This window comes from Homo sapiens, chromosome 20 (assembly GCF_000001405.40).
Source record: "Homo sapiens chromosome 20, GRCh38.p14 Primary Assembly".
NCBI classification, from domain to species: Eukaryota; Metazoa; Chordata; class Mammalia; order Primates; family Hominidae; genus Homo; species Homo sapiens.
This window is the reverse complement of record NC_000020.11, coordinates 17,247,616-17,275,359: the sequence shown is the minus strand read 5'-3', so window position 1 is coordinate 17,275,359 and position 27,744 is coordinate 17,247,616. Positions and strand designations below refer to the sequence as shown.

Below are 27,744 nucleotides of genomic sequence, written 5' to 3'. Positions count from 1 at the left end.
GCTGTGATTAGAACTCGGAACTCCTAATTCTTCCTTTGATTCTCCTCTCACTACGTATGCTGTTACCTGCTGATATCACTGCACCAAAAGGGATGCATTGCTTCTGTTTCATGCCAAAGTTTATACTTTGGAAAAGCCTACTTCTTTTAGATCTTTTCAAATGCATTGATTTCTTAAACTCGAATAAATTTAAACAAGAAAGGGACTCTTTTATAAGAAAACCATTTTTCATTAGTCGCCCAACATTATATATATATATATATATATATATATATGTATAAATAATATGCACAAAATAAGATAGAATAACAACTCCTAATGATTATGGTTCCTATACAACTATAAAACTAAGACAAGTTTACGAGTTAAATATAAACACCACAAAAACAATAATAGCCAAAGAAGCAATGCTGATTAAAACACAATGTGACTATGCTGTAGACTGCTGGGGTGTAGTGTCTTGGGGTTCATTTTAATGTGCTTTATGCCATGACTCAGTTCTCCACCACTCATCCCCTCTGCACTGCTGGGAAAATTCGTTTGTCTTCTTGTTATCTATTGCTGCATAATAAATTACACCACATACTAATGGCTTAAAACAACCAGTTTATTTGGCTCAAGATTTTTTGGGTCAGGAATTCAGGAAAGACATGACTGGGTAGTTTGTCTCCAGGTAACAGCAGTTGGGACTGGGGCTAAAAGATCCACTTCTGAGATGGCTTCTTCACTCATAGTTCTGGTATCTTGGTGCTCCTTGGCCTCTCTCTCTCCCCACGGTATATCAATCTCTCCACCTGGCTTGGCCTACTCACAGCATGGAGTTCTCAGGGTAATCACAATTCTTTAGCTTCTCTGAGGAAGGAGTAGAAGCTACCAGGTCAGGTAGGGGCTGGCTATGCCCAGAATTGGCCCAGTATCACTCCCACCACGTTCTACCAGATAAAATGTTACAGAGCCTTCACATGGGTGAATAAATAGACTCTACCTATGGATAGAGGAGGAGCCAGGCCCTATTGCAGAAGGTCACACATGAAGAGAGATGTTCCAATCATTTTAGGACAACAGAAGCATCCCGGGGTGTATCCCACCCTTTCTCAATAGCCAGAGACTGGATGGCAGTATTGCTGCCAATACAATTATAAACATGAGTGCTGAACTTATGGGAAAGTCTCAATCCCAAGGATCACCCAGAATAATAGAATATGGGCTTTTATTCACATGTTTATTGTTGTTTTGAATAAAAAATACACTATGCAAGGGACTTCTACTGCTCCCCAAATCCAGTTTGTCTCTCCTTCCTGAGCACATGGGAGAACCACACTTCTTAGCTTCTTTTCATTAAGACATTCATTTTGCCTAGTTCTCGCTAATGGGTGGTGAGCAGAGTGATATGTAACATTTTCAAGCTGAGGCATTTACAAGTGGGTAGAGCTTATTATGCTTTCACTTCCTCTTTCTCTTCCAGTGTCCTGGAATTCATGTGCTAGGATAGTGGCGTTTCAAGATGGTGAAACTTTCAACAGCATTATATTAATCAAATCTATCCAGCTCATGCTGGACTTGTGACTTGTAGCACAGTGAAAAGGAAACATTTGTATATTAAACCATTGGGAGTTAAAAGTTAATTTGTTACTGCAGCGTAATCTAGTTTATCCTAACTAATATCTTTATTATTCACAACGTTCTGGAAGAAAACCCAAGGACTCCAGCGTAACACAGTTTAAGGAACACTGATTTAATTCACACCCATATTTTTCATGGAGTAGGGGCAGGCAAGGAAAACAAGTAGAGAACTAAGAAGATGCAAAAGGAGTAGGTGACACTATCACCTTTTCTGCTTTGGCAAAGTTATAATGTATTTGTGAAATTAACATGTACTTTAGATGGAGTCATACTTCCAGCTTTGAAGTCTTAGGCATGTATTGGCAGACATTTGCACTTTCATTGTAATTCCATGATAGGGATTAAAAATTAAGGCAATTTATTTCCAGTCATTTGGACTTTCATTGTTATTTAATGGTAGAGATGATAAAATGAAGACAATTAGTGAAGGTTAAATGACTTGCCCATGTCACATGAATAAGTGTTAGAATAATTATTTTGGAAGCACTGATAGAAGTTCAATGATAGTTAATATTTCAGCTCTGGAGAATATGATCCTTAGCTGAATTAATCTATGTCTGAGATATCTTGACTTACTCATTTAAAGGAAATCACTTTATTAAGTTTTATAAAAATTTGGTTTGGTCTACACTTGAGTGTCACCTGGCACCCTTGAAATTAACAATTACCCATTGATTTTGGCTCTCTGATTAAAATTTCATGACGAAACATCCATCAGTAGCAGGTGTGTGGACAAGTTATCAACAGAATTCAAATTGCCTCAAGGGACTGGATTGAAAACATGTTGGTCTGGTACTTTTAGTCATGTGAATGACCAAATTAGATTGTTCCATGGCAAATAAACTGATTTCTCAGAGAGCCATATACACACACAAATCAACCAGATTCAGAGTGTTGGAGTTAAGCCATATAAACAGTCTTCAAATAGCCTCCCTGGTGAGACACTGTTTTTTCATTTAACTTGAATGATTTTTCAGAACTTTGGGTGCTTTAGAATTTCCTTTTAATATGGGGTCAGTGTGAAATACTCCTTAGAGTCTATATTAATAGATTCATATCATCCTGGCAGAGGGTTCTGAACTTTGTCATTTTTCTTTGTACTATTTAACTTTTTTCTTAAGAACTGTTGAAGATATTGATGCTGATCAAAATCATAGATGACAAGAAAGTGGAAAGGAGACTGAATCCAAATCTAATAAAATCTTGACAGGTCAGAATGAACTCTAATAAGATGAAAATTCAAAAAATAAATCCTTTTTAAAGGTTCCTTGTTTTAGAACCAATACCTCGATCCTTCAAGGATGGATTATGAGTGTATTTTAGAAGAACCTAGAAATTTTAGCTAATTGTAGGTTCACTATTAATCAATGTGAGATCTATGACTTCCACAAAATGCTAAAATGATTTTAAGATGTGCTAATAGAAGAATAGCTTTTAAAATGTGGGAGATACGGGAAGTGAGCATGCAATACTACTCTGAAATAATCAGAGCAGACCTGGATGTTATAATGTATTGTTCTCCAGTAATGTTCAGAGAGGTGTAATCAGGAAGGCATGGGAAAGAAGTGCCAAATTCAATGAAAACATCTGAAAGAACTAAGAATGCTTACTCTAGGAAGGTCCAGGGGGCATGATAACTATTTTCAAATGTTTGAAGGGTTCTCACATGGAAGATAGATTAATTTGGCCTCAGAAAGGAGAATGTGGATTATGAACCAACGCTACAAGGAAGTAGCTTTGGAATTCCCTTAAGGAAGAACTTTTATGTGGACTACCTTGGCAAATAATGAAGTCACGGACTAGTCATAGAGGTGTTCTATCAGGTTTCATCCTGTCCTGGGGTGTTGTAGAGTAGGGACTGCAAAATGGTAGTGCATGGAAAAATTTGTTCTGATGATGTATTTTCTTTAGATTGGACAGTGTGTTAAGAAATTTTAATTTAATCACTAATTTTTTTAAAAAGATAAAAGAATCTTTACAAAGATTGGTAGTTGCTACTTTTCTTCAAAATTGTAGATGTGGCAACCAGGGCGTCCATTATTGGAGGTAACAATTAGCTGAGAATAAGAATCCGCTTCCTCCTTTTAAGAGGGTGTGTACACTCAGGTTCACCACAGTCCCCACCACTCTCTGTTGTGTTCCTCACACAGAGGAGAAGATCATTTTGCCGTTTATTCTCTTGCTTGAGTAGCTGTTTTGCTTACAACTGACCCACCTCAATTTGTAATTTATTTGCATGGCCTGTGTAGGCATCAAGCTTGTTATCCCTGTTGGATACACTGATTGACTAGGCTAAAGAATCGAACTTGTTTAGCTATCAAAGGTTTTCAAACATTATTTTTTATTTTAAGGACCCCCACTCCTTCACACCCATGATACCAGGGAAATCTTAAACCAAATCCCAATTTATAAAACATGATAGAGGAGCTATTATCTTTGAAGTGGATGAATAACCTCTATCTCATAATCTAATATTTCCCCCGAGACAAGAAATGGAATTTTAGGGTACTATTGAATTGGTTTGAACAGTACAGGATTTGAAATTGTGTTCTATAAGTTGAGGATACCAACATATAAATGCTAGTTCTTGCAAACACTTTATAGCATTGGTTTAAAGAAAAAGCCCTATTTCTCAGATGAAAAGAAAGACATGTAAAGGAAGGATCACAAACTGGTTAGAATTGCTGGGTTTTAGTCGTGGCTTTGATATTAACCAGTTGGAGAGGCTTCAGGTTAGTCCCTGGAATCTCAGATTTAGGACCTCAGAGGGCATTTTACAGACTAACTAGTCCACACTCCTCATGGTACAGACAAGAGAACTGAAGACTGGGGGAAACAACGGTTTGTTCAAGGAGAGCACAGTTAATTGGTGTCAGTGTAAGTATTGGAACTCAAGAATGACCTCAAATTGGACTCTATCATGTTCCTTTTCTCCCTAATAGACAATTATTTGGGTCTCTTTCCACACAATAGGTTTTAATTGCTTTTCTTTGCTTCTGTTGGGAGAAGAAACTTTCTCATGTTGATTCTCTAAGTTGTCCTTAAAAATTAACATCCATTAAACTATTCTTTACTTGGGATGGACTGCTCTCCCTTTTCAGGGGGAATGGAAAACTATTTTGTCTTACCTGTTTTCTCTCAAGCAATAAGTTCTTTATTGCTAAATGGGACATGCTCATCGTAGAGAAGATGAAAAACACAATGTTTTTGGTACAGATAATGGCAAACCAATTAGATAAACTCCAGCAATTGGGTTGTTATTCAGACATGAATCTCTTTGCCTAACTGCTGTTTACTCATTTCTAGACCTGGCTGCACTGTTATCCTCTCCTGAACCCATAAAGCTTTGAAATTACTGGAAATGGCAGGAATTCAATTCCACTCATTTTCAAAATTCCCTTGGTTTGGCTTTAAGACCGTGAAACCTGTTTATAGAAAGAGATGTGATCACAAACATGTCAATAGGCATCAAAAAGGAAAAATAGCTAAACCAATTTTAAAATACCCAGAAAGAGTTCTAAAGAGTATTAAAAAAAATTTTTTTTGAGGCATCACCAACTTCAAACCACTTTTGCCTCACAAAACGTTATCTTAGAAATATTCAGTAGCTAGATAGACATACGATTATAACTGTTCATTTATGTCACCATTAAGGAACTTTATAGTCTCCTTATGCTAAATATTGAATAAAATTTATTTTGAAGCAGAGGTTTGAGGAGTGAGAAATTATATCCTAGAAAAAATTTTGAATCTTAACAGGAAATTCTTTTAAAAACTATATCTTTCTGAAATCTATGAAAATATGATCAGAATTAAATCAACAACAACTTATAATTTTATTTTCCTTAATTGGAGGGTAAGGTTTTTTCTTTTTGGTTTACAGTCAAACATGATCTTTCTCATGGCTTTTATAGTTTCTCAAAATTAAAAAGAGGTGCCCAATTCAGGTTCTTCCCTTGACATGTCAAACAGAGGCTGTTTCCTGGTAACTTCACCTGGCAGCTTGCAGAACGCGGTCTTGGCTCTGAGTTAGTGCCTAGTTGGGATTGCAGGTTTAAGAGCTAGATTCTCAACATTCTGAGTCAAATGTGACCTCCTGCTGCTTTAAAGCACACTACCCAGCCCAAACACATCAGTATCCTTTAATTTCATAAGTTCATGTGTGAACCATGTATTTCAATATCCGTTGAGAAAGCGTTTGAAAAATAGATCAGAGAGGGGAAAAGTGAAGAAACATTGATACCTCTAATAAGAAATAATTATAGGGATGGCCAAGTTACTATGGTAAAATGTAGACGAGCTAGAACACAATGGCTAAAGTTGGTCTTCTCTTGACCTCTGATCCTGTTTCTAGATTACTTGCTGCTTTTCTGTCTCCTTTGCTGGTCCCCAGTTATCTCTTTGACTTCTAAATCTTAGAGTACCCTAGGGCTCAGTCCCACAAATCTTCTCTTCTATATCTACACTCATTTCGTAGGTAAGCTCAACTAGTCTCCTGGCATTGAACACTAACAATAGATGGATGCCTCTCAATTTATATCTCCAACTCTGACCTCTCTCCTAGATCCTTAAGTCCATCTGTTCATTTCACATCATCTCCACTTGGTTACTTAATACAAATCTCAAATGTTAACGTGCTTAAAACTAAACTCTTAATTCCCTAACCACTCCCCATCAACCTGCTCCTCTCACCATCTTGTCCATATGCATAAGTGCCATTTCATTCTATAGTAATGCAGGCCAACAACTTAGGAGTCACCTTTGCCTTCTCACTTCCTCTCCCATTCCTCATCTAATCCATCAGCAAATGCATCAACGAATTTGAAGACTACCTTCACAACATACTCCCAGATCTGATTTGTTTCTCACTGCCTCCACCACTTCTATCCTGGCCTATGCCACTGGCTTTTCTCTTCTGAAATATTGCAATCGCCTTGCATGGATCTCTCTAGTCCAGTTGTCCCTCATCCATACCTCTACCCCATTGTCTATTATTTGCCCATAGGCACAGAAGCCACATCTCATTCAGAGTCAATTCAAAGTTCTTTCCCCAGCTTATCATGTCGCCCATGATCTTGCTTTATTTTTCCTCTCTAACCTCATCTCCTTCCCCACTGTCCTTGGCTCATTCCTTTGCAGCTTTACTCGCATTCTTGCTGTTCCTGGAACACACCAGGTGTGTCTTGGATTCCAGGCCTTTTTCCTTGGTGGTTCCTCTGTCTGGAGTGCCCTTTCTCCAGATATCCACATGAATACCTTCCTCATCTCCTTCAGGTCTATATTTAAATGCCACTTTCCCAGACTAGCCAAACCTGGATGCTTTTTATAAAATAGAAACACCCCTCTATGGCTCTCCCTCTTCCCATACTCTGCTCTACTCATTCTCATAGCATTTTGACCACCATTCATACAATTGCTTGGTCATCTGTTTTTTGTTTCTCTCCTTCATTGCCACTAGTATACAAGCCCCCTGGGAGGAGGACTTTGTCTTGTTCACTGTTATATTTCAGTATGCAGAAGAGTGCCCTGTATATAGTTTGGACTTGATAACTATTTGCTGAATGAATGCTGGTTTTCTAGCCAACAACTAAATAAGAGAGTTACATTATGAATTTAATAAGCATACACATATAATCATTTTTAGAAGATATAATAGAGGCTATATAAATGCATTATATATATATATATATATATATATATATACACATTGGATATATAAATGCATTTCCTTTTGCATCTTGGGGAAGGTTGGGGAGGGAATCAGGTGAGGCAGATCAGGAGAATTTTGCCCTTCAAACATCTAAGATTTTCCCAGGAAGTCCTAAAGGTTTGCTAGCCCACCATTAGAGACTCTTCACCTTGTGAATTGTAAAGACGATACAGAGCCACCAATTTTCTCTGTGTTAACTTTTCTCTATACCAGGGCTTGTAAGAATTCTCCCAAAGAAAGTTAAAACTTCCAAGAGATCTCTGGCTTTGCTAGCATGATGCCTCCCAGAGAGTTCCCACTTTTCCTTTAGGAAGCATGACAGCACGAACAGTACCCATCATTTAAAAATGAACATCTAGAAAAAAACAGCATCTAGAAAAAAACCAGGCTTACTCATTAGCAGCTTTCCCTGTGCCTTTCTGTAGCTGTAGTAAATAATTCTCCCCTGTTCCCCACAAATAGTTAATTATAGCACCAGCAGCAGCTCTTTGAGTTGGGAAGCCAGGCATATCTGCAATGCCCAGAGGAGATGCTGAAAGTCCTCCCTGCCACATTCTGAAAGCAGAGGATTAGAACAGATGAATTTTTCCCACAGGTTGGGGCATCCATGAAGATACCTCTGCCCTGCTTCTTATGCATACCTCCCCCATTGCATTTCTCCTTTTCCTGATGCTGTCAAGTAACTCTCAACTTGCATCACTCATGAATGGTTTACACCCGCTGACCTCTTGGCATGTTATCTAGAAAATGAATTTGGCCACAGATGGGAGGCTAGGTCAGAAACTGTTTCACTTGGGTCTCTTGGCTTCACTATTTGTGTTCAAAATATGGTCCAGCTCATGTGCCTACAGATTCATGTTTTCCCCTCTTAGTTCAGTTCAATCTCTGGAAAAGGGCAGCAGGGGTGGATGGGGAGCTGGATTGGGCACGGAGAGCTCCTGATCTGGGAAGCCATGTCCACTCTTCCAGAAAGGTCAAAGATCCCAGAAAATGCCTCTTGAATCAAATGTGAATTTACAGACAAATTGAGTGAAGTGGGCATGGCAGGTGTAATGAAAACTGTGGTGCACTCTCCAGATTTCCTCTTTAGGGCCCTCACACATTTCCTCCAGCTGCTAAATGTGGCTCAGAGTTTCTTTCACTGAGAATTGCCTTTGGTAGCAGGACGTGATTTACCTAAGACTATGTTTCCTTTGAGGGAGTACCCATGCCAATAACTGGTCATTATGGGGGCACAAAGGTCCGGTTCCTTTGCCTCACACTGGGGTAACTCTGAAGGGCCACCCCTGTTTCTGAGTTTCCTGTAAAATTGACTGAGGCCCCTGTTGAAAGCCCATTTGCTCAGCTTCTCCCTTTGCCCAGTGTTCTCTTCCTTGCTCTCCAAGAAGTCTCTGGCATACAACTCTGCATCTCAGAGTCTGTTTCTGGGAAATCCAAAATGAAGACCCCATCTTTGTTTAATTTCTCCTAGAAGAATCACGCCTTAGGGAGTGAATTCTAAAGTGTGCAAAGTGGAACTTATGCATGGTTAAAATTAACTTTGAAAACTCCTTAAGGGTTAGAAACTGATATTGTGTCTCAATACATCACAAGGGTGGAATTTCCCTTTCACAATGGACCCTGGTCGTGTCCCATTGTTCTCACAGCAAATGAAGAAGTCAGCTTGCGTTTAGGAAATATTTTGTATCAAAAGTATTAACTTTAAATGCTACAGGCTCACCCCCAGAAAGGTGAAATGCTTCCACTGTGAGGGTCACCAGGGAACCGAGGCCAACTGCATACTCAGCTGCCTTCAGTTCAAGGCCACTCCAGGGCATAAGCAAATTGAGCAGAACAGTGAGCTCAAGTGCCGCCCTTTTTATTTCCCTCTTCTTTTTCACTTTTCCATTTATAGCTGAGCTCACTGAATTCACATAAGTGACATAAACTCAGGAGGCAACTTCACTTCTTTTCAGCACATTATTTTTAATTGAGAAAATTCAGTGACTAATTAGTGCAAACAATTGTTTAAAGAACGACAGATTCATAAGCAGTATCAATTCTCACTTAGTTTTTTATTTAAATCAGACTTCGTATTGAGAGGAGTCACGAGTTTTATTTTCTTCCTATCAGTTATAGCTGTGTGGCCCCAGGGAAGTCACCTTCTCTCTCTCTGGGTCTATTTTGCCTCAATGGTAAAATTATATTTTAATGCTTCAAGGTCAAGGGCTGAATCAATGTTTCCTTAAGACTCTTCCTGCTCTATAATTCTCTTTGTGCAGAGGAGCAGGGAAAATTATGGAATACAAATCAGTGTAGAGCAGCACCATGGAGTGGTTAAGTCTCCTTACAAACCATGAGAATTTGGGGAACTCAGAATCCACCCTTTGTCCAATTTATGCTACAAGGAAATGAGAATATGAAGAAATAGCAGCCACAAATGCCCTGTAGAATAAAAAGTTCTAGAAAAATACAAAATGCTATTTTCCCTTTTGTGTTTCTCATAATATTAATAAACTTACCATGACTATGTTTCTTAATAAGTAAAATATAATCAAATCTATATGCTTTATTTTTTTCCTTCAATAAAACATTTGGAAGATAAATTGGAAAATTTCTATATGTTTCTCAGAGCAGCACCTCACAACCTCAGACCTTATCCTCTTAGAGTTAACAAGTATAAGGATAAAAAACAGCCTATTCTTTGGGTATAAATCCCTTAAAAAGGCACTAAAACTATCTAATTTCTATTTTTACCCAGCCCCCAGACTGTGAGGCTCTCATGCAGTCATGGTGATGGTAAGTAGAGGTCACCTCAAATTCCATTAGTTATCCACTGGAGGAAGGTGTGGTCAAGACAAAAGAGGGGGAGGAGATTTTTCTCCGTGACATTTTCAATTTGAAAGTAGACTTTCCAGCATTTTGGGAGGCCAAGGCGGGTGGATCACCCGATGTCAGGAGTTCAAGACCAGCCCGGCCAACATGGTGAAACCGTATCTCTACCAAAAATACAAAAATTAGCCAGGTGTGGTGTCACGCACCTATAATCCCAGCTACTCAGGAGGCTGAGGCACAAGAAACACTTGAACCCGGGAGGCAGAGCTTGCAGTGAGCTGAGATCGTGCCACTGCACTCCAGCCTGGGCAACAGAGTGAGACTCTATCTCAGGAAAAAAAAAAGAAAGAAAGAAAGAAAAGAAAATAGACTTTCCAAAAGATAACAGCATTTTCCCTTCTCTTCCCTTTTAATTTATAATAAATAATCAAATAATTAACTACTATAATTGAAAGGAAAGAAGAGTTTGGCCACAATACACACAAATCATATAAATCATGTCCAGTTGATTTTAAAGAATAGGAAACTTTTCTTTTGCTCCAGTGGTATTATGAGATTTCTGAAGTGATTATATTATCCAGTGAAGCTAAATTTTGTGGGTTATTGGCAGTATCTTGAAAACTCCACAGATATATTCAAGAATAGACCCTTAAAGACCAAAAACAGATCACTACCAGAACGTGTGGCTGCCTTTTATGGTTATTAAACATGTGGATACATTTGGATAAGAAAGAAGCTAGAAAGATATAGCTTCTAAATATAGAACACAAAGGAAATATCATCCATTCTTTGAGATGAGAGAAGCAAGGAAAGTTTTTATTGGACTGATAGAAGTTTCTGACTTGTAAAACTGAAACATGTTTAAAAATGAGGAATAATTGTATGGTCTAGTAAAATTGCTTAGTAAAGGAAATAAATGTTTTTAATTCTCAAATATAACCTCTCTCAAGAAATGAAGTTCAGGTTATTTTTTAATTAAATTATTTTGCTTCCATAAGACTAGTGTGTGTTACTCATAGAATTATGAGTCCTTCATGTTTTTAAAATATATTTCACTTTAATATTCTATTTCAGATGTGCAAGTATGGTTTGACAGAGCTGGGAAGCAAATATTATCTTAAATAAATCTACTCTTCGGAAGCTTTTCAGGTACTTGTAGAATTTATGAGGTTTTGATATGTTGACCAGGGACTGAAGATAGGTTTGGCTTTAAGATTTGTTGGTATTGTTCTAGCTAATGTTGAACAAATCTTACAGAGCTTTTGGGCATAAAATATTTGTTTTTGACCCTGATGTTGAGAAGGTATTTTTAGTTTCATTATTTCATTTCAGTGTTGAATTGATTTATTACCTCTTCAAATTATTTTCATTATCAAAACCTTCCAGACACATTGTCCCGCTTTGGTGCCTGTACCACGACTGTGAATATGATTAGGAAGAAGGCAGATTGGGTTTTGGAAATTAAGAACTGGTTCTTCATGGGATTCTTTGTGATAAAACTTGGAAGTAATGAAACAGTCATTGGTTTCTGTTACCCACAATTAAGAATGTATGTAAAAGAGGTGCTAGGGAGAAGACTATATAGTACTTTTATTTCCTAATGGAGACAAATTTTGGGATACGGAGGAAAATATAAAATGAGAAGGGCAATACTATTACATGGATTAAAACCCTGAAGAAAAAATAGTAATCATTCATTCATTTGACATGCTCAGTCATTTCCTGAACATCTCACTGTGCAAAGATATTACTGAAATAAACAAGACACAACTTTTGCTTTTTAGCATCTAAATGATGATACTTGGCAGTCAGCTAATCTTTTAGCAGGAAGAACTGGAAAGAGAAGCGAACATCTTTAACACAGTCTACATCAGAATCTGTTTTCTTAGCTATTGTCTGCATATTGATGAACAAAGATGAGCACATGGAAAGTAGCACTTTAGCTCTTTCTAGTCCTTTTTTTTCTGTTTTCCTTTTAGCATAAAAATTAGTTGTTACATGAGAGGCAAACATCATTGAAATTTCTGGTCTGAAGTCAAAAAAAGCCAAAAAGTACCTTGGGTTTCTACCTTTTTCTTTTTTATTTCTTGGGTTGCTAGCAGAGCTTGGAGGTTTCTTTGGTCAAAAAGCTACCTCAGTAGATGAAGCCCTGAAAGCGAATAGCAGCTCAGACCACCCTCCCTGGGCTTTGTGTTCCTTACCACAAGCCTGTAGACAGTGAGTGAGACAGGCTGGGAAGTGGTGCAGGGACAGGAAGGAGAAGGAAGCTGGGGGCTGGGGCTGCAACCGTAGTTAACGTTAGCAGTTCTAGGAGACAGTACATTTCAGGGAATGCTAAAACAACTTACTCTTAAATTCTGTGTTTATAAAGCATAACTTGCCACATCTATGTAAGACATAAAAGCCTGGACCTCCTTCTGGCTACTTGGTCTCTCCCTTTTTCTTTCATTTACTTTTCTTTTTGCAACCTGTTTGAATGTGTTTGAGAACCCCCAAATTGGGGTATTCCTACTCTAGACTTATTTACCCTTTTGTTTAACAGCTATAAACCCACAAGGCAGAATCTTTAGTTTACTATCTTTGCACTGTTCATAGTCAATGATTTTTGGTTCAGAATAGTTGCCACTCTATTTTTCTATCAGCAGATGCCAAAATTAGACAACCACGAGAACATCATGCAGGAAAGACTCAGACCTTAATCTAATATTTTGGAAAAAGGCAGTCATCATTAGCAGTTTTTTTTTTCGTTTTGAAAAAAATTATGAGATTTTTGTGCTTTATTTATTTTCCTAGAATGAGTTTATTATTGACAACATCCCCAGCATTTAACCTTGATGACAAGATAGGGAAAAGATATAGGATACTTGGTCTTCTTTAGTTTTTCTGCTATTTTCTGTTGGTCTTCATGGGCAAGGCAGATGGTTACAACTACCAGATAGAGGCAATTGGCTACCTGGATCCTTATAATAGATAATGAAGGGGAAATAGGCACCCCTTTTGGTGATAACAGATAATATTTTGAAGAGAAAGACAAATGATTAGAATCACCAGTGACTGATCTCTTCTTTTTATTACCCAATTAGTCCCATTTTATATTTTAAAAGTGTCACTGTATACTTCAAGAATCAGCATTTCAGAGATCATATGTGTTAGAATGGGAAAAGCTCAGGCCAGTGGTGCTAAATAGTCTCTCTGACCAAACAGGGACTTTTGAGTTCTACTGTGCCTCAGTTCTCTTTCCCAGCCCAAGCCTTTTAAATGTCTCTTTCATTCTGCCCCCAGTTTATATGTTTCTGAATAATCTTGGAGCAACGCCTTTAATCGTGGAAGAAGAGTAGCCAATGGGACTTTTAAGAAAATACATAACTAAAAGGAAAACAACTGGCCATAAATGGCAAGGTTATGGCATAGGGTTGAAGTGTAGGGAAGACAAATGTCACGGTGCACCAGGGTGATCTTTGTCTACTGGTGCCCACCTTGGGTTCAGGGCAAGATCCCTGTCCATATGACTGCCCAAGGGTATCCCCAGGTAATGAATTGGTATAGCCAAGGCCAAGGTTATTATCACATAGAATAGAGAGCTTCTCCCTTAGGTCTTGGTGCCGGCTTCTATGACAGATCCTTTAAGAATACTTGGCCTTGGCTGGCAGCACAGGCAGCTTAATTGTTACTGCAAAAGTAAAGTTAAAGTGGCTTCCTAGAGCAGAAATTCCTCTTTAGAGAAGGTGGGAACTCTTGAGAAGTTAAAGAAAAAATTGCCTGTGGCCTGTCATTTGGCAATCTGCTGAGAGACTGTTTTATCTGAATTCCTAATTGAAGCCCAAATTAAACCCAGGGAAATGTTCACATGAAAAGCCCCACAAGAATGAGTTTTCAGATTCTATCAGCTCAAAAGAATCTCATGTGAAAGTCCTTAACTCAAACATCTGACACGCTTTTCATCAGCTGGTCCCTGAGAGTCCTGAGAAAGAGGTTACGCTGCCTTCAATGTACAGAGAACAACTTGTCTGAGTTATTACATACTTTCCTTCCTAGTGATTCTTGTAACAGAAATCAGAATCTACCCAATTGGATGAGTGTGTAGGTATGGGGGATGGTGGAAAATATGATTACTAAAGGTCCTATTCTGAAAGGCAAGAAGTGGGAACACTGGGAGAGAAGCCACTTTGTTGCTAAGATGATATGTTTGATTGGGGGAAAGTTGAATTTGAGCCATCACAGGGAGTAGAAAATGGGACCTGGAGTCCAAGAGCAAGGTAAAGACTGAAGATTAAAAAAATGGGGGTGATGAACATCAAGTAGACAGCTGAGACATGAAGGCAAATTAGATCAGTGCTAGAAAATATAGGATAAAAAGAAAGGCTGAGATAGTCTCATGGCCACAGTCATGCATGGATACTGAGAAGTCCACTGCCTGCTGTGAGCTGCTCACTGACTGGCTCTCTCATTCTTTCCGTTCACAACGTGGGGCATGGCAACCTCCTCTGAGCATGTGGATTCACCAGTAGAAACCTTCCGTAAAATGACTCATTAAACTGCTTGTTGTCTTCCCATCCATCACAGGCCAAAACATGTTCCCAGGCAACCCGAAGTCCTCACCCAATAATAACTCAGGAGAAGATAGCCAGTAAAAGGGTGGTATCCCAATTTCCTCTTCCTCCAGCCATACAAAGGGGCCTGTGATTATTTATTATGCAGAGACAAAGGAGCAGAGAGTCCCTGATATGACTCTGCAAAGCATTCATTTGCCCTATCATAGTACATTAAGTGCCTTTACTTCAAAATTCCCTGCCAGCCCCTCCACACCCCCTTGGTGGGCTCAGCCATGGCAGCAGAGATTGGGAGGCAGGTTTCTGGGGAAAACTCACCCTGGGGTCTCTCTCCAGCTGCTGCTTGTGGTGTAGGCTGCGTCTTCTCTTGGCCTTTGCAAGGCCATTGTGATAAAAGTGGTACAGACCTTCAGCAAAGGGAAGCTGTGGAGAGTCAAGTAGACATAGGCATAGTTAGCTTCTGGGGTTGGCCCAGGGACAGGGACACCAAAGCTGGGGCTGCTTGCAGGGGCTCCATGGGGTAGGGAAGTATGCAAGGAAACCACTGGCAAACCTCCTGTCAGTCCTGGTCCTCTATTTCCCTATCAATGTCCTCCTTCTCTTCTCCTTGCCTTTGTTCATGTGGTGTCCACTCTCCTCCTGCTCCCCAAATACCTTCTATTCTTTCCCCCATTTTTTAACTTTCTGCACATCCTTTGATTCCCTTTCCTTTTCCATGGAGCCTTGCCTTTACATTCACACCTGCATCAGATTCTCCTTGCCTTCCTTGGTCTAGTGTGCATACCCCAGGTACCACCTGGTTGCTTCAGAATTATGCTGCGATGTTTTGTAGTCATGTCTTCATAGCTGTCTGTGACAGATCTTCAACTGTCTGTCTGTGTCTTGGGCTTTTTCTGTGAACCCTTGGTGCCTTTTATCAGGCTGAGCACAGTGTGAACATCTAAATTTAGTAAATACCAGTTGGATGGCAGGTCTGGTTTCCCTCTACCTTCCTATCTCAAGGATCCTTGAAATCAGGTCAGAACCAGTCAGAGAAGTCACAGTAATGAGAGGTTGTCTTTGGCACAGGGCCTCTAAGAGTCTTGGAGAACCTAAACAGGCCAATCATTTGTTCTATGATTCAAGGTAACTTGGTGGGAAGAGCCTTGACCTGGGAGTTTGGAGGCCTGGATGTGGCTCAGGTCTGTTACCATCAGTATGATTGTGGGCAAGTGGTTTCCTCTCTGGGCATCTTTTTCTCTTCTGTATAAATATAGGGGCTTGAAGTTCCCAGATCTCTCCCTTTTCTCCACGTCTTCACATTGATGAAGACATGCTGTTTGCAGTTCTTAACCTGATTAATTAATTTAATTGAATGCTTACAAATTATAGACAAATAATGTAAATATGTACTTTTTTTGGAAATAGGACACATGATTTCATCAGATTCTCAAAAGAGTCCCTAAATCAAAAAGCATTCCACTACTCAAAGTATTGGCTATTGAAAGTTTTGGTGTGTGTGTTGCCATCCAGTGTTTGGAAGAAAAGGGAAGCAGATGTGGTTGATTTGATAGAAAAGTTTTCTAACATAGATGGGGCCAATCTGAGATTTTTAGATCACATAGAACCTCAGTGTGGCTCAAATATTTCTTAAAGAATATTTATTATTATTATTTTATTTTTAATATAAAGAAAATGTAGAGTAAATTTAGAAAACCGAAAAACACAGATAACAAAGTAAAAATTCTTCATGTTTTCTTTTTTGGCAGTATTGGAGTTAGGTTACCTTTTTGTTTTTTTTCCTCTAGGCCTACCTACTTGTAAGAGCAAATGATTATTTCCTTAATAGTCAAATGAGTGAGTTTTAGATCTTCTTCCTTGCTTAAACACACACACACACACACACACACACACACACACACTACATATTATGCAAAGTGGTTCTTCTCTTGTCACTCAGATGCTATCACAGACTTTCACTTACTACCTCCTTTTTTCAAATTTTTATTTTGGGTTTGGGGGTACATGTGAAGGTTTGTTACATAGGTAAACACGTGTCATGGGGTTTATGGTACATATTACTTCATCACCTAGACTACTTCCTTCTTTTGAATGGCTGCATATTATTCCATTACATGGGCTATACCATGACTTATTTAGCCTTTCCATTATTGATGCATATTAAGATGCTTCCATTTTTTTTTACATTCAAAGATAATGCTGTGTGTTGGGGTGGGGAAACTTCAGGTATGATAGAATAAGAACCTTCAAAAATCTACTGCTATAGAAAAGCAAATAGAACTCTGAAAAAAATTGCCAAATCAACTTATTCAGAACACAGGAAATTGACAAGAGGTTTGCAGCAACCCGAAGGGTGTTTATTCAATAAAAAAGTTGAATCTCAGTGATAATGGCAAACTCTGTGCTGTTTTAGATTGCCCTATGACCATCCTCTTCTTCATAGCTCTGCAGCATCTTTGAACATGAACAACCTCACAATCACAGCAGCTGTGAAAACCAGTAGCCAAATACATAGTAGAGGGTGCAGACTGGGTTTAGAGTTATTTAAAAAGCTCCATCCCTAAATAATTGCCTGGAAGCTATCTGGAAAAGTTCCATTTATAGGATTTGTTGTTATTTGATCTGTCCCAGGGTTTGCTCAGTTGGAAAAGTCCTACTCCCCAGGGAATTTGTCAAAAATAATCAGTGGCAAATTTTTAAGGTTGCAATTTCCTGAAGTAGCAATATGAACTGGGGCAAATAAAAGGCTGGACAAAAACCTTTGTAAAAGAATCTAGGGAATAAGATGTCCATTGAAGGCTTTACAAAGCTCTAATATATTCCTGGACACTTAGAAGGCCATACACATGGGCAGAGCTGTACACACAACCAGGAAATATCTAAGAAGGCCCTAAGTGCTCACCTTTAGTTGACTTGATGTCTCTTTAAAAACAGGAGGTGAAGGCCATAGCAGAGTTTAAAACTGCCTGCTTGAGAATTGAGGATATGTCCCGATATACACAACAGAGCCCCTTAGCAAAGGGTAAAAACAAAAAGCCTTATTGATTCAAGGTCTTTAAGAAAACCTCTGCCCTGTCATTGGCTAACTATTAAGTTAACCAAGCAGATTCAATGGCACATTATAGAAATTACAGACTTTATAGAATTAGTCCAGAAAGACATTAAATAAGCAAATAGAAATAAACATATGTGTGCATGTATCTTTAGAGTAGAATGATTTATAATCCTTTGGGTATATACCCAGTAATGGGATTGCTGGGTCAAATGGTATTTCTGGTTCTAGATCCTTGAGGAATTGCCACACCATCTTCCACAATGGTTGAACTAATTTACACTAACCACCAACAGTGTAAAAGCATTCCTATTTCTCCACATCCTCTCCAGCATCTGTTGTTTCCTGGCTGTTTAATGATCACCGTTCTCACTGGTGTGAGACGGTATCTCATTTTGGTTTTGATTTTCACTTCTCTAATGACCAGTGGTGGTGCATTTTTTTTCATATGTTTGTTGGCCACGTAAGTATCTTCCTTTGAGAAGTGTCTGTTCATATCCTTTGCCCACTCCTTGATGGGTTTTTTTTCTTGTAAATTTATTTAAGTTCCACAATAGCAAAGACTTGGAACCAACTCAAATGCCCATCAATGATAGACTGCATAAAGAAAATGTGGCATATATACACCATGGAATGCTATGCAGCCATAAAAAAGGATGAGTTCATGTCCTTTGCAGGGACATGGATGAAGCAGGAAACCATCATTCTCAGTCAACTAACAGAGGAACAAAAAGCCAAGCACTGCATGTTTTTACTCATAAGTGGGAGTTGAACAATGAGAACACATGGAAACAGAAAGGGGAACATCACACACTGGGGCCTGTGGGGTTGCAGAGCTAGGGGAGGAATAACATTAGGAGAAATACCTAATGTAGATGATGGGTTGATGGGTGCAGCAAACCACCATGGCACGTATATACCTATGTAAGAAACCTCCATGTTCTGCACATGTATCCCAGAACTTAAAGTATAATTAAAAAAAAAGAAAAAAAAACAGGGGTGGGGGTGCAGGAAAACAAATAGCAATAGTAAAAACAACAAAACCTAGAAACAACAACAAACAACCTGGGGAGAGGTAACTCTGGTTTCCAAACTGTCATATTACAGTATTTAAAATGTCAAATTTTCAAGAAAAATTGTGAGACACAAAAAGAAATAAGAACATATGCTCCACACATAGAGGAAAAAATAATAAAAACTCTCTGAGGAAGCCCAGATGTTGGACTTACTAGACAAAGACTAAACTATATAACTATAAATATTCACATGATATTATATATAGATATCACTATACCCAGACATATGTTCAAAGAAACCATATCTAAAGAACTAAAGGAAAGTGTTAGAATGGTGAATCATCAAATAAAGAATATCAATAAAGAGATAAAAATAATAAGAAGAAAGAACCAAACAGAAATTCTGGAGCTAAAAAGTACATAACAGAATTTAAAAATTTATCAGAGAGCCTCAATAGCAGTAAAGAGATTGAATTAGTAATTTTAAAACTTTCTGCAAAATAAATACTGATGAATTCTACTAATCCTGATTAGTTCTACTAATGTTTAAATAAATAATTCCAGTCCTTCAGAAACTCTTCCAAAAAATGGAAGAGGAAGAATCACTTCCCAACTAATTCATTGAGGCCTGTGTCACCCTGACATGAAGAAAAGACAGAAATACCACAAGAAAAGAAAACTACAGATTGTGATCCCTTACAAATATGGCAAAAAAATGCTCATCAAAATAGTAGCAAACTGAATCCAGTCACATATAAAAAGGATTTTCATCATAACCAAGTAGGATTTACCCCAGGAATGCAAAGTTGTTTTAACATCTGAAAATCAATTACTATAATAAATATATCAATAGAATAAATAACAAAAACCACATGAACATCCCAATGCAGAAAAACATGTGACAAAATACAACATTCTTTTATAATAAATACGTTTTAAAAAATTAGGAATGAAGGCTGGGTGCGGTGGCTCACGCCTGTAATCCCAGCACTTTGGGAGGCTGAGGTGGGCAGATATCAAGGTCAGGAGATCAAGACCTTCCTGGCTAACATAGTGAAACCTCGTCTCTACTAAAAATGCAAAAAATTAGCTGGGCGTGGTGGCAGGCTCCTGTAGTCCCAGCTACTCAGGAGGCTGAGGCAGGAGAATGGCATGAACCCGGGAGGCAGAGCTTGCAGTGAGCCGAGATTGCGCCATTGCACTCCAGCCTGGACAACAGAGCGAGACTCCGTCTCAAAAAAAAAAAAAAATTAGGAATGAAAGGGAACTTTCTCAATCTGATAAATCTATCTATGAAAAACTCACAGCTAACACCATAGTTAATGGTGAAAGGCTGAATGATTTTCTTAAGACCAGAACAAGACAAAGTTATCTGCTCTTGCCACTTCCATTCAAGAGTGTACTGGAGATTTTAGCTAATGCCATCAGGCAAGATAAAGAAATAAAGGCATCAAGATTGGAAAGAAAGAAGAAAAACTATCTCTATTTGCAGAAGACATATCTTGTACATAGAAATTTATAATGAATCCAGAAAAATTATTAGAATTGACAAAAGAGTCAGCAAGGTTGCAGAATATAAGATTAACATGCAAAATCAATTATATTTCTATACACAAGCAATGAACAATCCAAGCATAAAGTTAAGAATATAAGTCAATTTAAAATAATATCAAATAAGTAAAATACTGGGGAATAAATTTAACAAAAGAAGTGCAAGATGTATACACTGAAAAGTACAAAGCATCACTGAAAGAAATTAAAGATCTAAATAAATGGAAAAGCATCTCATGTTCACGGATTTTTTAAAATGGCAATGCTCCCTAACTTATCTGTAAATTCTATACAATTACTTTCAAAATCTCAGCTGTCATTTTTGCTTATCCTAAAGTTCAAATGTAAACTCAAGAGACCAAGAATAGCCAAAATAATCTTAATAAAGAAGAACAAAGTTGGAAGACTCACATTTTTCAATTTCAACACTTCTTCAAAGCTAAAGTAATCAAAGTAGTATGGTACTGGCATAGGAGAGACATATAGTAGTTTAATGGAATAAAACTGAATCCAGAAATAATTTATGATAATCAACTTATGGTCAATTGATTTTCAACATGGATGCTAGAACAATTCAATGAGAATGAATAGTCTGTTCAAGCACAGTTTTGTGCTTGGACAATTAGATATTCACATGAAAAAAATGAATTTGGATTCCTATCTCATACCACATGCAAAATTTAACTCAAAATGATTAGTAGTCCCAAATGTAAGAGCTAATATTGTACAACTCTTAGAATAGAACATATAAATAAATCTTCATGGCTTTAGGTTAGGCAATGTTTTCTTAGATACAACACCAAAAGTGTAAGAACATAAATTGTACTTCATTAAAATTAAGAATATTTGTACTTCAAAAGAAATAGCGAAGGAAACGAAAAGACAACCCACAGATTGGAGAAAAATTTTGAAAATCATATCTCTGATAAGGATCTCGCACAGGAATGTTTTAAAAATGTTTACAATTCAACAATAAATTCAAGAAATCCAATTAAAAATGTGCAAATTAGAGGAATCATTTCTTCAAAGAAGAAGTAAAAATGGCCTATAAACATACAGAAAGATGTTCAACATTATTAGACATCAGAGAATGCAAGTTAAAACCATGAGATATCACTTTACACACACTAGAATGGGTAAAATCAACCCCTGCCCAACTGCACCCAAACCAGCAAGTGTTGACCTGGATAGGGAGGAATTTGAACCCTCATACACTGTTGGTGGGATAGTAAAATGGTACAGCCTATTTGGAAAGCTCTTTGGCAGTTACTTAAAATGTTAAACATATAGACTTGTCATATGACCCAGCAATTCCATGTACGGGTGCATATAAGAGAAATGAAAACATACATTTACACAAATTCTTGTATACAAATGTTTATAGCAACATTATTCATGATAGTCAAAAACTAGAAACAACCCACATTGCTATCAATTGATAAAACAGTAAACAAAATGATATATATGTACAATGGAATATTATTTCTAAATGGAAAGGAATTAAGCAATGACACATGGTAAAAACACGGAAGAACCTTGAAAACTTAATGCTAAGTTAAAGAAGCCTGACAGCAAGGTCATATATTGTATCACTTCTTTATATGAAATGTCCAGAATAGACAAATCTATAGAGCTGGAAATTAGATTAGTGGTTGCCTGGGGCTGAGAGGGGACAGAAATGAAGAGTGATTGTTAATGGTCCAGGATTTATTTTAAGGGTGGTAAAAATATTCTAAAATTAGATACTGGTAATGATTGCACAACTTTGCAACTCTACTAAAGATCACTGAATTGCAAATTTTTAGAGGATAAATTTTATGGCATGTGAACTATATCTTAATCAATTTGCTATTAAAAATGCTATGATGAACAGCTTTGTGATTATCACTGTTTGTATAGATGAGAGTTTTCCTGTAGGATATATCCTAGGAATTCAATCTCTAAGTCGTAGATTATGAACACTTATCATTTTGATAGATACTTCAGAAAAGTTTCCCTATAAGGTTGTATATTCCAAGATTCACCGAAAAGTAAATAAGAATAAAAATATCCTTTTTCCCATTCTCTAAGTAACACTGGATTGACATTTATTAATGATATTTTAACTGCAGCCAATTTATAGGCAAAATGTTTCATCTTATTTGAATATTTTTAATTGTTTTGAAAGTTTGAGCATCTTTTCATATGTTTATTGACATTTTAGTTTCTTCTCTTTTGTGCATTTTTCTATTGTGTATTTTTGTGTTCCTTGTCATAAGCCAGGCACTGTGTTTGGTGCTGGAGAGACAAAGGTAATGATGATATGGTCTCAGCCTACAAATAGCTCACAATTCACAGGGAAGGAAGATTTGCACACAGCAATCTATTAACAGTACTCTGTGGTGGAGTGGTTTAAGAACATGAGTTCTGAAGCCAGATTGCCTTGGTTTAAATTCTCGCTCTTCCTCGTAACAGCGCTATGACCTTTGGCAAGTTAGTTAACCCTTGTGGGCCTCAGATTTTTTACTTATAAAATGTTTTTGTTATGGGAATTAAGTGAGATAATGCATGAAAAGTGCTTGGAATAATATCTTGCACTCAAGCATAAGTTACTCTTTTTATTGTTAGAATAGAATGTGCTGTAGCAGAGTTATTCACAAGCTGCTATGGAAACCCAAAGGAGAGGTTATTTCAATCAGAGGGATACTTGGGGAATATTTCTTAGACTTTTTGGAGAAAGGGGAGGGCAGTCAGCTTAAGAGACTCTTTTCCACTTCTGTTAAAAATTATATTTTTCTAGTGTTTTAATTTTGAAGAGTGTGGCTGTTTAAAGCCACAGCTTTTTTTTAAACACTCCCCATATCAAGAAATGAGGTCCATGATTCCAGCCCTTGCATCTGGGGAACATGATCACTTTAATTACGAGTATGGTGGAAGTGATGCCATGTGACTTCTGAATCTAAGTCATAAGGGGCCATTAGACTTGTGCCTTGTTCCCTGGAACACACTTGCTCTTAAAGTCCTGACCTACAATTTAAGAAGTCCAACTCCTCTCAGGCTGCCATGTTATGAGGAAGCCCAGGCAACATTGAGAAGCATGTGTAGTGCTTTGCCTGACAATCCTGGAAGAGCGCAGCTTTCAAGTCATCCCATTTATGGTGTTAAATGCACATATTAAGAAGCTTTCACATGATTCCAACTCCAGCCATACCAGTCATCCTCTAGCTGTTGAGTCTTCCCAACTGAGCCTCCACACATCGTGGACCACAGACAAGCCATTTCCACTGTGCCCTGCCTGGATTACAAATTCCCACATTCATGAGTATAATAAAATTGCTGTTTTATACCACCAAATTTTGGGTTGGTTTGTTACTCAGCAATGGACTACAGAAACAAGTAGCTAGCTGAAAAAAAAGTTTTATTTCTTCAGCTTTCACAGCTGTGTTAACATAAAACTCTACAATAATATTGGTTCTGTCTGTCAACTGATGACACCGTCTTGGAGCAGCTCAGATAAAGGCTCTCAAGGGACATCCCTGGCACAGGGGGACAGGCCTGGACTCAGATCAGCAGATACTGGATGATCTTCAAGGCATAGCCAACTTAACCAGGGGTCTTTTCTGTGAATAAAAATTTTTTAGAACATTGTAGCTTTTGTGATTTAGTTCCTGTTCACTAAAAGCCATATTCCCCATGGCAAATTTAACATAAATATTTCGTGTGATAATTCCAGGCTCAATGGTTCTTAAATGTTTTCTCTACTTAACCCTGCTGATATACTCTGGATAATATTAAGATTTAATAAAATAAAAAAAGTGAGGGGAGAGGAAGAAAATGTATGTGTGCTGTATTTTGCTTTCCAAAAACTTTCTACTTTGAACACTATCAGGTAGTATGAAATTTGACCTTTTGTTTCTTATTGCAGGAAGCATTATGGATCTGATAATTTTTTTTTTACTTTTAATTTTTTGGAGTCTCACTTTTTTGCCCAGGCTGGAGTGCAGTGGTGCAATCTTGGCTCACTGCAACCTTCGCCTCTTGGATTCAAGCAATTCTCCTGCCTCAGCCGCCCGAGTAGCTGGGATTACAGGCACCTACTTCCACACCTGGCTAATTTTTGTATTTTTAGTAGAGATCAGGTTTTGCTGTTTTGGCCAGGCTGAGCTTGAACTCCTGACCCCAAGTGATCTGCCCGCCTTGACCTCCTAAAGTGCTGGGATTACAGGTGTGAGCCACTGCATCTGGCCTAGAACTTAGAATTTTTAACACTAGAAAGAAAATTTGGAGTTGTTAAGTGCCAGTGGGTATCAGAGGAACATATCTTACCATGATTCTGGCTTGTTTTAGTGTTTTTTTAAAATAAGAAATTAAATGTAAACTGAGGTGCAGGGAAAACTCTTCCTTACAGTGGAATTGCCATTAATAAATGTAGAAGAAATGATGGACATTGAATATCATCATTCAGAAAATGTCATAATAATAGTAATTGTGGCCGGCAAACATCTCCAATAGATGCTAAAATTAATAGGTGAGATACAATAATAAACAATGGGAAATGTATCTTTATAGTGGAGAAACCTGGCAGAGACCACTTTACCCAAGCGATCTAAGTTAACTTCACCAGTGATGAGTCATGCTATGATGCACTAAGAAGGGCACATTGTTCATGTGATTTTCTCACCAAAAATACATAACGTGTATTTATTCAGGTAGAACCATCAGACAAACTCATAACTGACCAGTACTCTTTAAAGTCATCATGTTCATAAACGACAAAAAAGAGCTGCAGAACTTTTCCAAATTAGAGGAAACTAAGGAGACATAACTATTAAATATAATCATATTTTGGATTGAATCGTGGATCAGAAAAAAGGACACTAGTGGGACAACTGGAACATTTTGAATAAGGCCTGTAGCTAATAGTATTATATCAATGTTTATTTCCTGCCTTTGGTAATTTTGCTATGTTTACCTAAGACGTTAATTTTGGGGAAGCTGAATAAAGAAGGGTATATGGAAACTCTGCTTCTTTTTAAAAGTAATGTTTTTATTGTGATAAATATATATAACATCAACTTTTCAATTTTAATGATTTTTAAGTGAATAGTTCAGTGATATTAAGTACACTCACATTATGCAACTATCACTATTATCCATTACCAGAACTTTTTAATCATCTCAAACTGAAACTCTGTACCTACTGCACAGTAACTCTCCATTCCCCCCCCAGCCCTGGAATCCACCTTTCTACACTCTGTCTTTATGAATTTGATTTCTCGAATTAGGTTATATAAGTGGAATCATACAGTATTTGACTGTTGGTGCCTGCCTTATTTTACTTAAGCACAATGTCTTCAAGGTTCATCATGTTGTGGCATGTGTCAGAATTTCCTTCCTTTTTACGGTTAAATATTCCACCCTGTATACCACATTTGGTTTATCCATTCATCCGTTGATGGACACTTGATTTGCTTCCACCTTTTGGCTATTGCGAATAATGCTGCCATGAACATAGGTGTACCTGTGTGCTATTTATGCAACTTTTTTTTTTTTTTTTTTTGAGACAGAGTCTCGCTCTCTCCCAGTCTGGAGTGCAGTGGCGCGATCTCGGCTCACTGCAAACTCCACCTCCCAGGTTAACGCCATTCTCCTGCCTCAGCCTCCCGAGTAGCTGGGACTACAGGCGCCCACCACCACCCCTGGCTAATTTTTTTGTATTTTTAGTACAGACGGGGTTTCACCATGTTAGCCAGGATGGTCTCGATCTCCTGACCTCATGATCCGCCCGCCTCAGCCTCCCAAAGTGCTGGGATTACAGGCGTGAGCCACCGCGCCCGACTTAATGCAACATTTTTAAAGTCTAAATTATTTCCAAGATGCAAGTTAAAAATGTAAAAATATTTTAAAATTTAAATTTGAATGACCTCAGAAAGGTCATGTATTTCCTAGTTTCAAATCAGAACCCACCTACCCCTGCACTTCCTATGGTCACACACTAAGCTCCCTTTCCACGGTTGTGTTACCTTAGGCTACTGAGTTGCATACCTGGCTTGGTCTAGCTGCCTCATTTTTTTAGAGAAGACACTGTGGCTCAGGGGGTGCCAGGGCCTGACCAGATGAATGGGAGCTCTCTGCAGAAATCCCAGCTCTCCTGAGTGTAAATCCACACTGCTTGTGTGGTGGTCCTACTCTACGTCCCAGCCCCTTTGTAACCATGACTAGGAATCCATGAGATTTTGGCCTGGAATTCCTGATGGAGATGAGTGGGACTCAAGGACAGCCAGGTTGATGGGTGACATCCCCACTGCTGTGATCTTGGGACCCTTGAGTCTGGATTCTTTGGGATTCTTTCTTGGCTATGAAAGAAAATGGAGCTAATTGGTCTCATAAAGCTAAAATTTGAACCTCTGACGAGCTTACTCTTATGCAATAAACAGGTAAATTGACTGATCATGAACCTAACAAAAGACTAACCTGTAGGCATTGGTTATTTTTCTGGGCCTTTTTTGTCTCTTGCTTTTGGAGTGCAGACCCAAGATCCACTGTCTTCTGAGCATCTGAGAAGCAGCTGCTTAAGAGCTTTGTGCAATCATAAGCTCCACCGCAGGGAGAGAAAGACAGATGCTATGTGACTTACAGTAGTATAAGGTACTTGCTGCCTACACAGACCTCAAGGATGTAAGGCTGATCGATGCATTCCTGAGATTCTTAAGTAGACTGCAAATCTTGCAAATAGCAAAGACATATTGAACACAGTGGTAGATTCCCAAACATTCACCTGAGTATCCTAGTAAGAAGCCTCTCATACTGCGGGCATTTAGTATGTTTTGAAATGTTTTCTTCATTGAAACACACACACACACACACACACACACACACACACACACACCCTTTTTTATATCATCACTTTGTTCTCTTAAGGCAAAATATGCATGGTTCCAGAAGGAAGGAGAAAAAGAAGTGAATGAAGAACTCGCAGCAAATTGTCAGCTTGAAGATTCAGGCTGGGTGACAGTATAATAATGCTGCTAAGTCAGACTTGCAGAGTTTTTAGAAATTCTCATTATGCCACAAAAATGTATGGATCTCAGCAACACTTCTCATTGTCTTCTTTCTTTTCCTCTTACTTCCTTTTCCCATTGAAAACTATGGCTCCAAGCTATAGCACCTCTCTGAACCCACACACTCCATTTTCCCAGCAGTAGGGAACTCCAGGGAACTGGCAACCAATTGTGAACAGATAAAAAGAAGTGTTAAATTCTCATGGAGCCTATTTCCTGCTTCTTTTAAACACTAGAGTTCTCTTCCCTTAGGGAATCTGTAGATGCTCCAGAGGGTCTGTGACCTTGGCATGGCCTCCATTCCAAATTTTGTGCATCTGTGCATTCGCTTGTTCTCAGGAGAGTCTACTGCTTATTACAGATTCTCAAATGGATTCAGAACCCTCAG

The 27,744-nt window shown here is 38.2% G+C and overlaps 1 protein-coding gene and 1 long non-coding RNA gene across 4 annotated transcripts in view; one reads left to right on the top strand and one right to left on the bottom strand.

The window, feature by feature from the left end:
* Positions 1-27,744, bottom strand: part of PCSK2 (proprotein convertase subtilisin/kexin type 2) — a 258,472-nt gene that overhangs the window by 209,219 nt on the left and 21,509 nt on the right. For 2 of the 3 annotated variants that reach the window (NM_001201528.2, NM_002594.5), the window contains one exon: positions 15,016-15,120. The exons of the other annotated variant lie outside the window; for it this stretch is intronic. In NM_001201528.2, the coding sequence (NP_001188457.1) occupies positions 15,016-15,120 (105 nt within the window). The remainder of the gene's footprint in view (positions 1-15,015; positions 15,121-27,744) is intronic. 3 annotated transcript variants of the gene reach the window in all.
* LOC105372546 (uncharacterized) overlaps positions 1-27,744 on the top strand; it is a 94,422-nt gene that overhangs the window by 51,539 nt on the left and 15,139 nt on the right. The window contains exons 3-4 of the long non-coding RNA XR_007067540.1: positions 10,074-10,111; positions 11,222-11,296. This is a non-coding gene — a long non-coding RNA (uncharacterized LOC105372546). The remainder of the gene's footprint in view (positions 1-10,073; positions 10,112-11,221; positions 11,297-27,744) is intronic.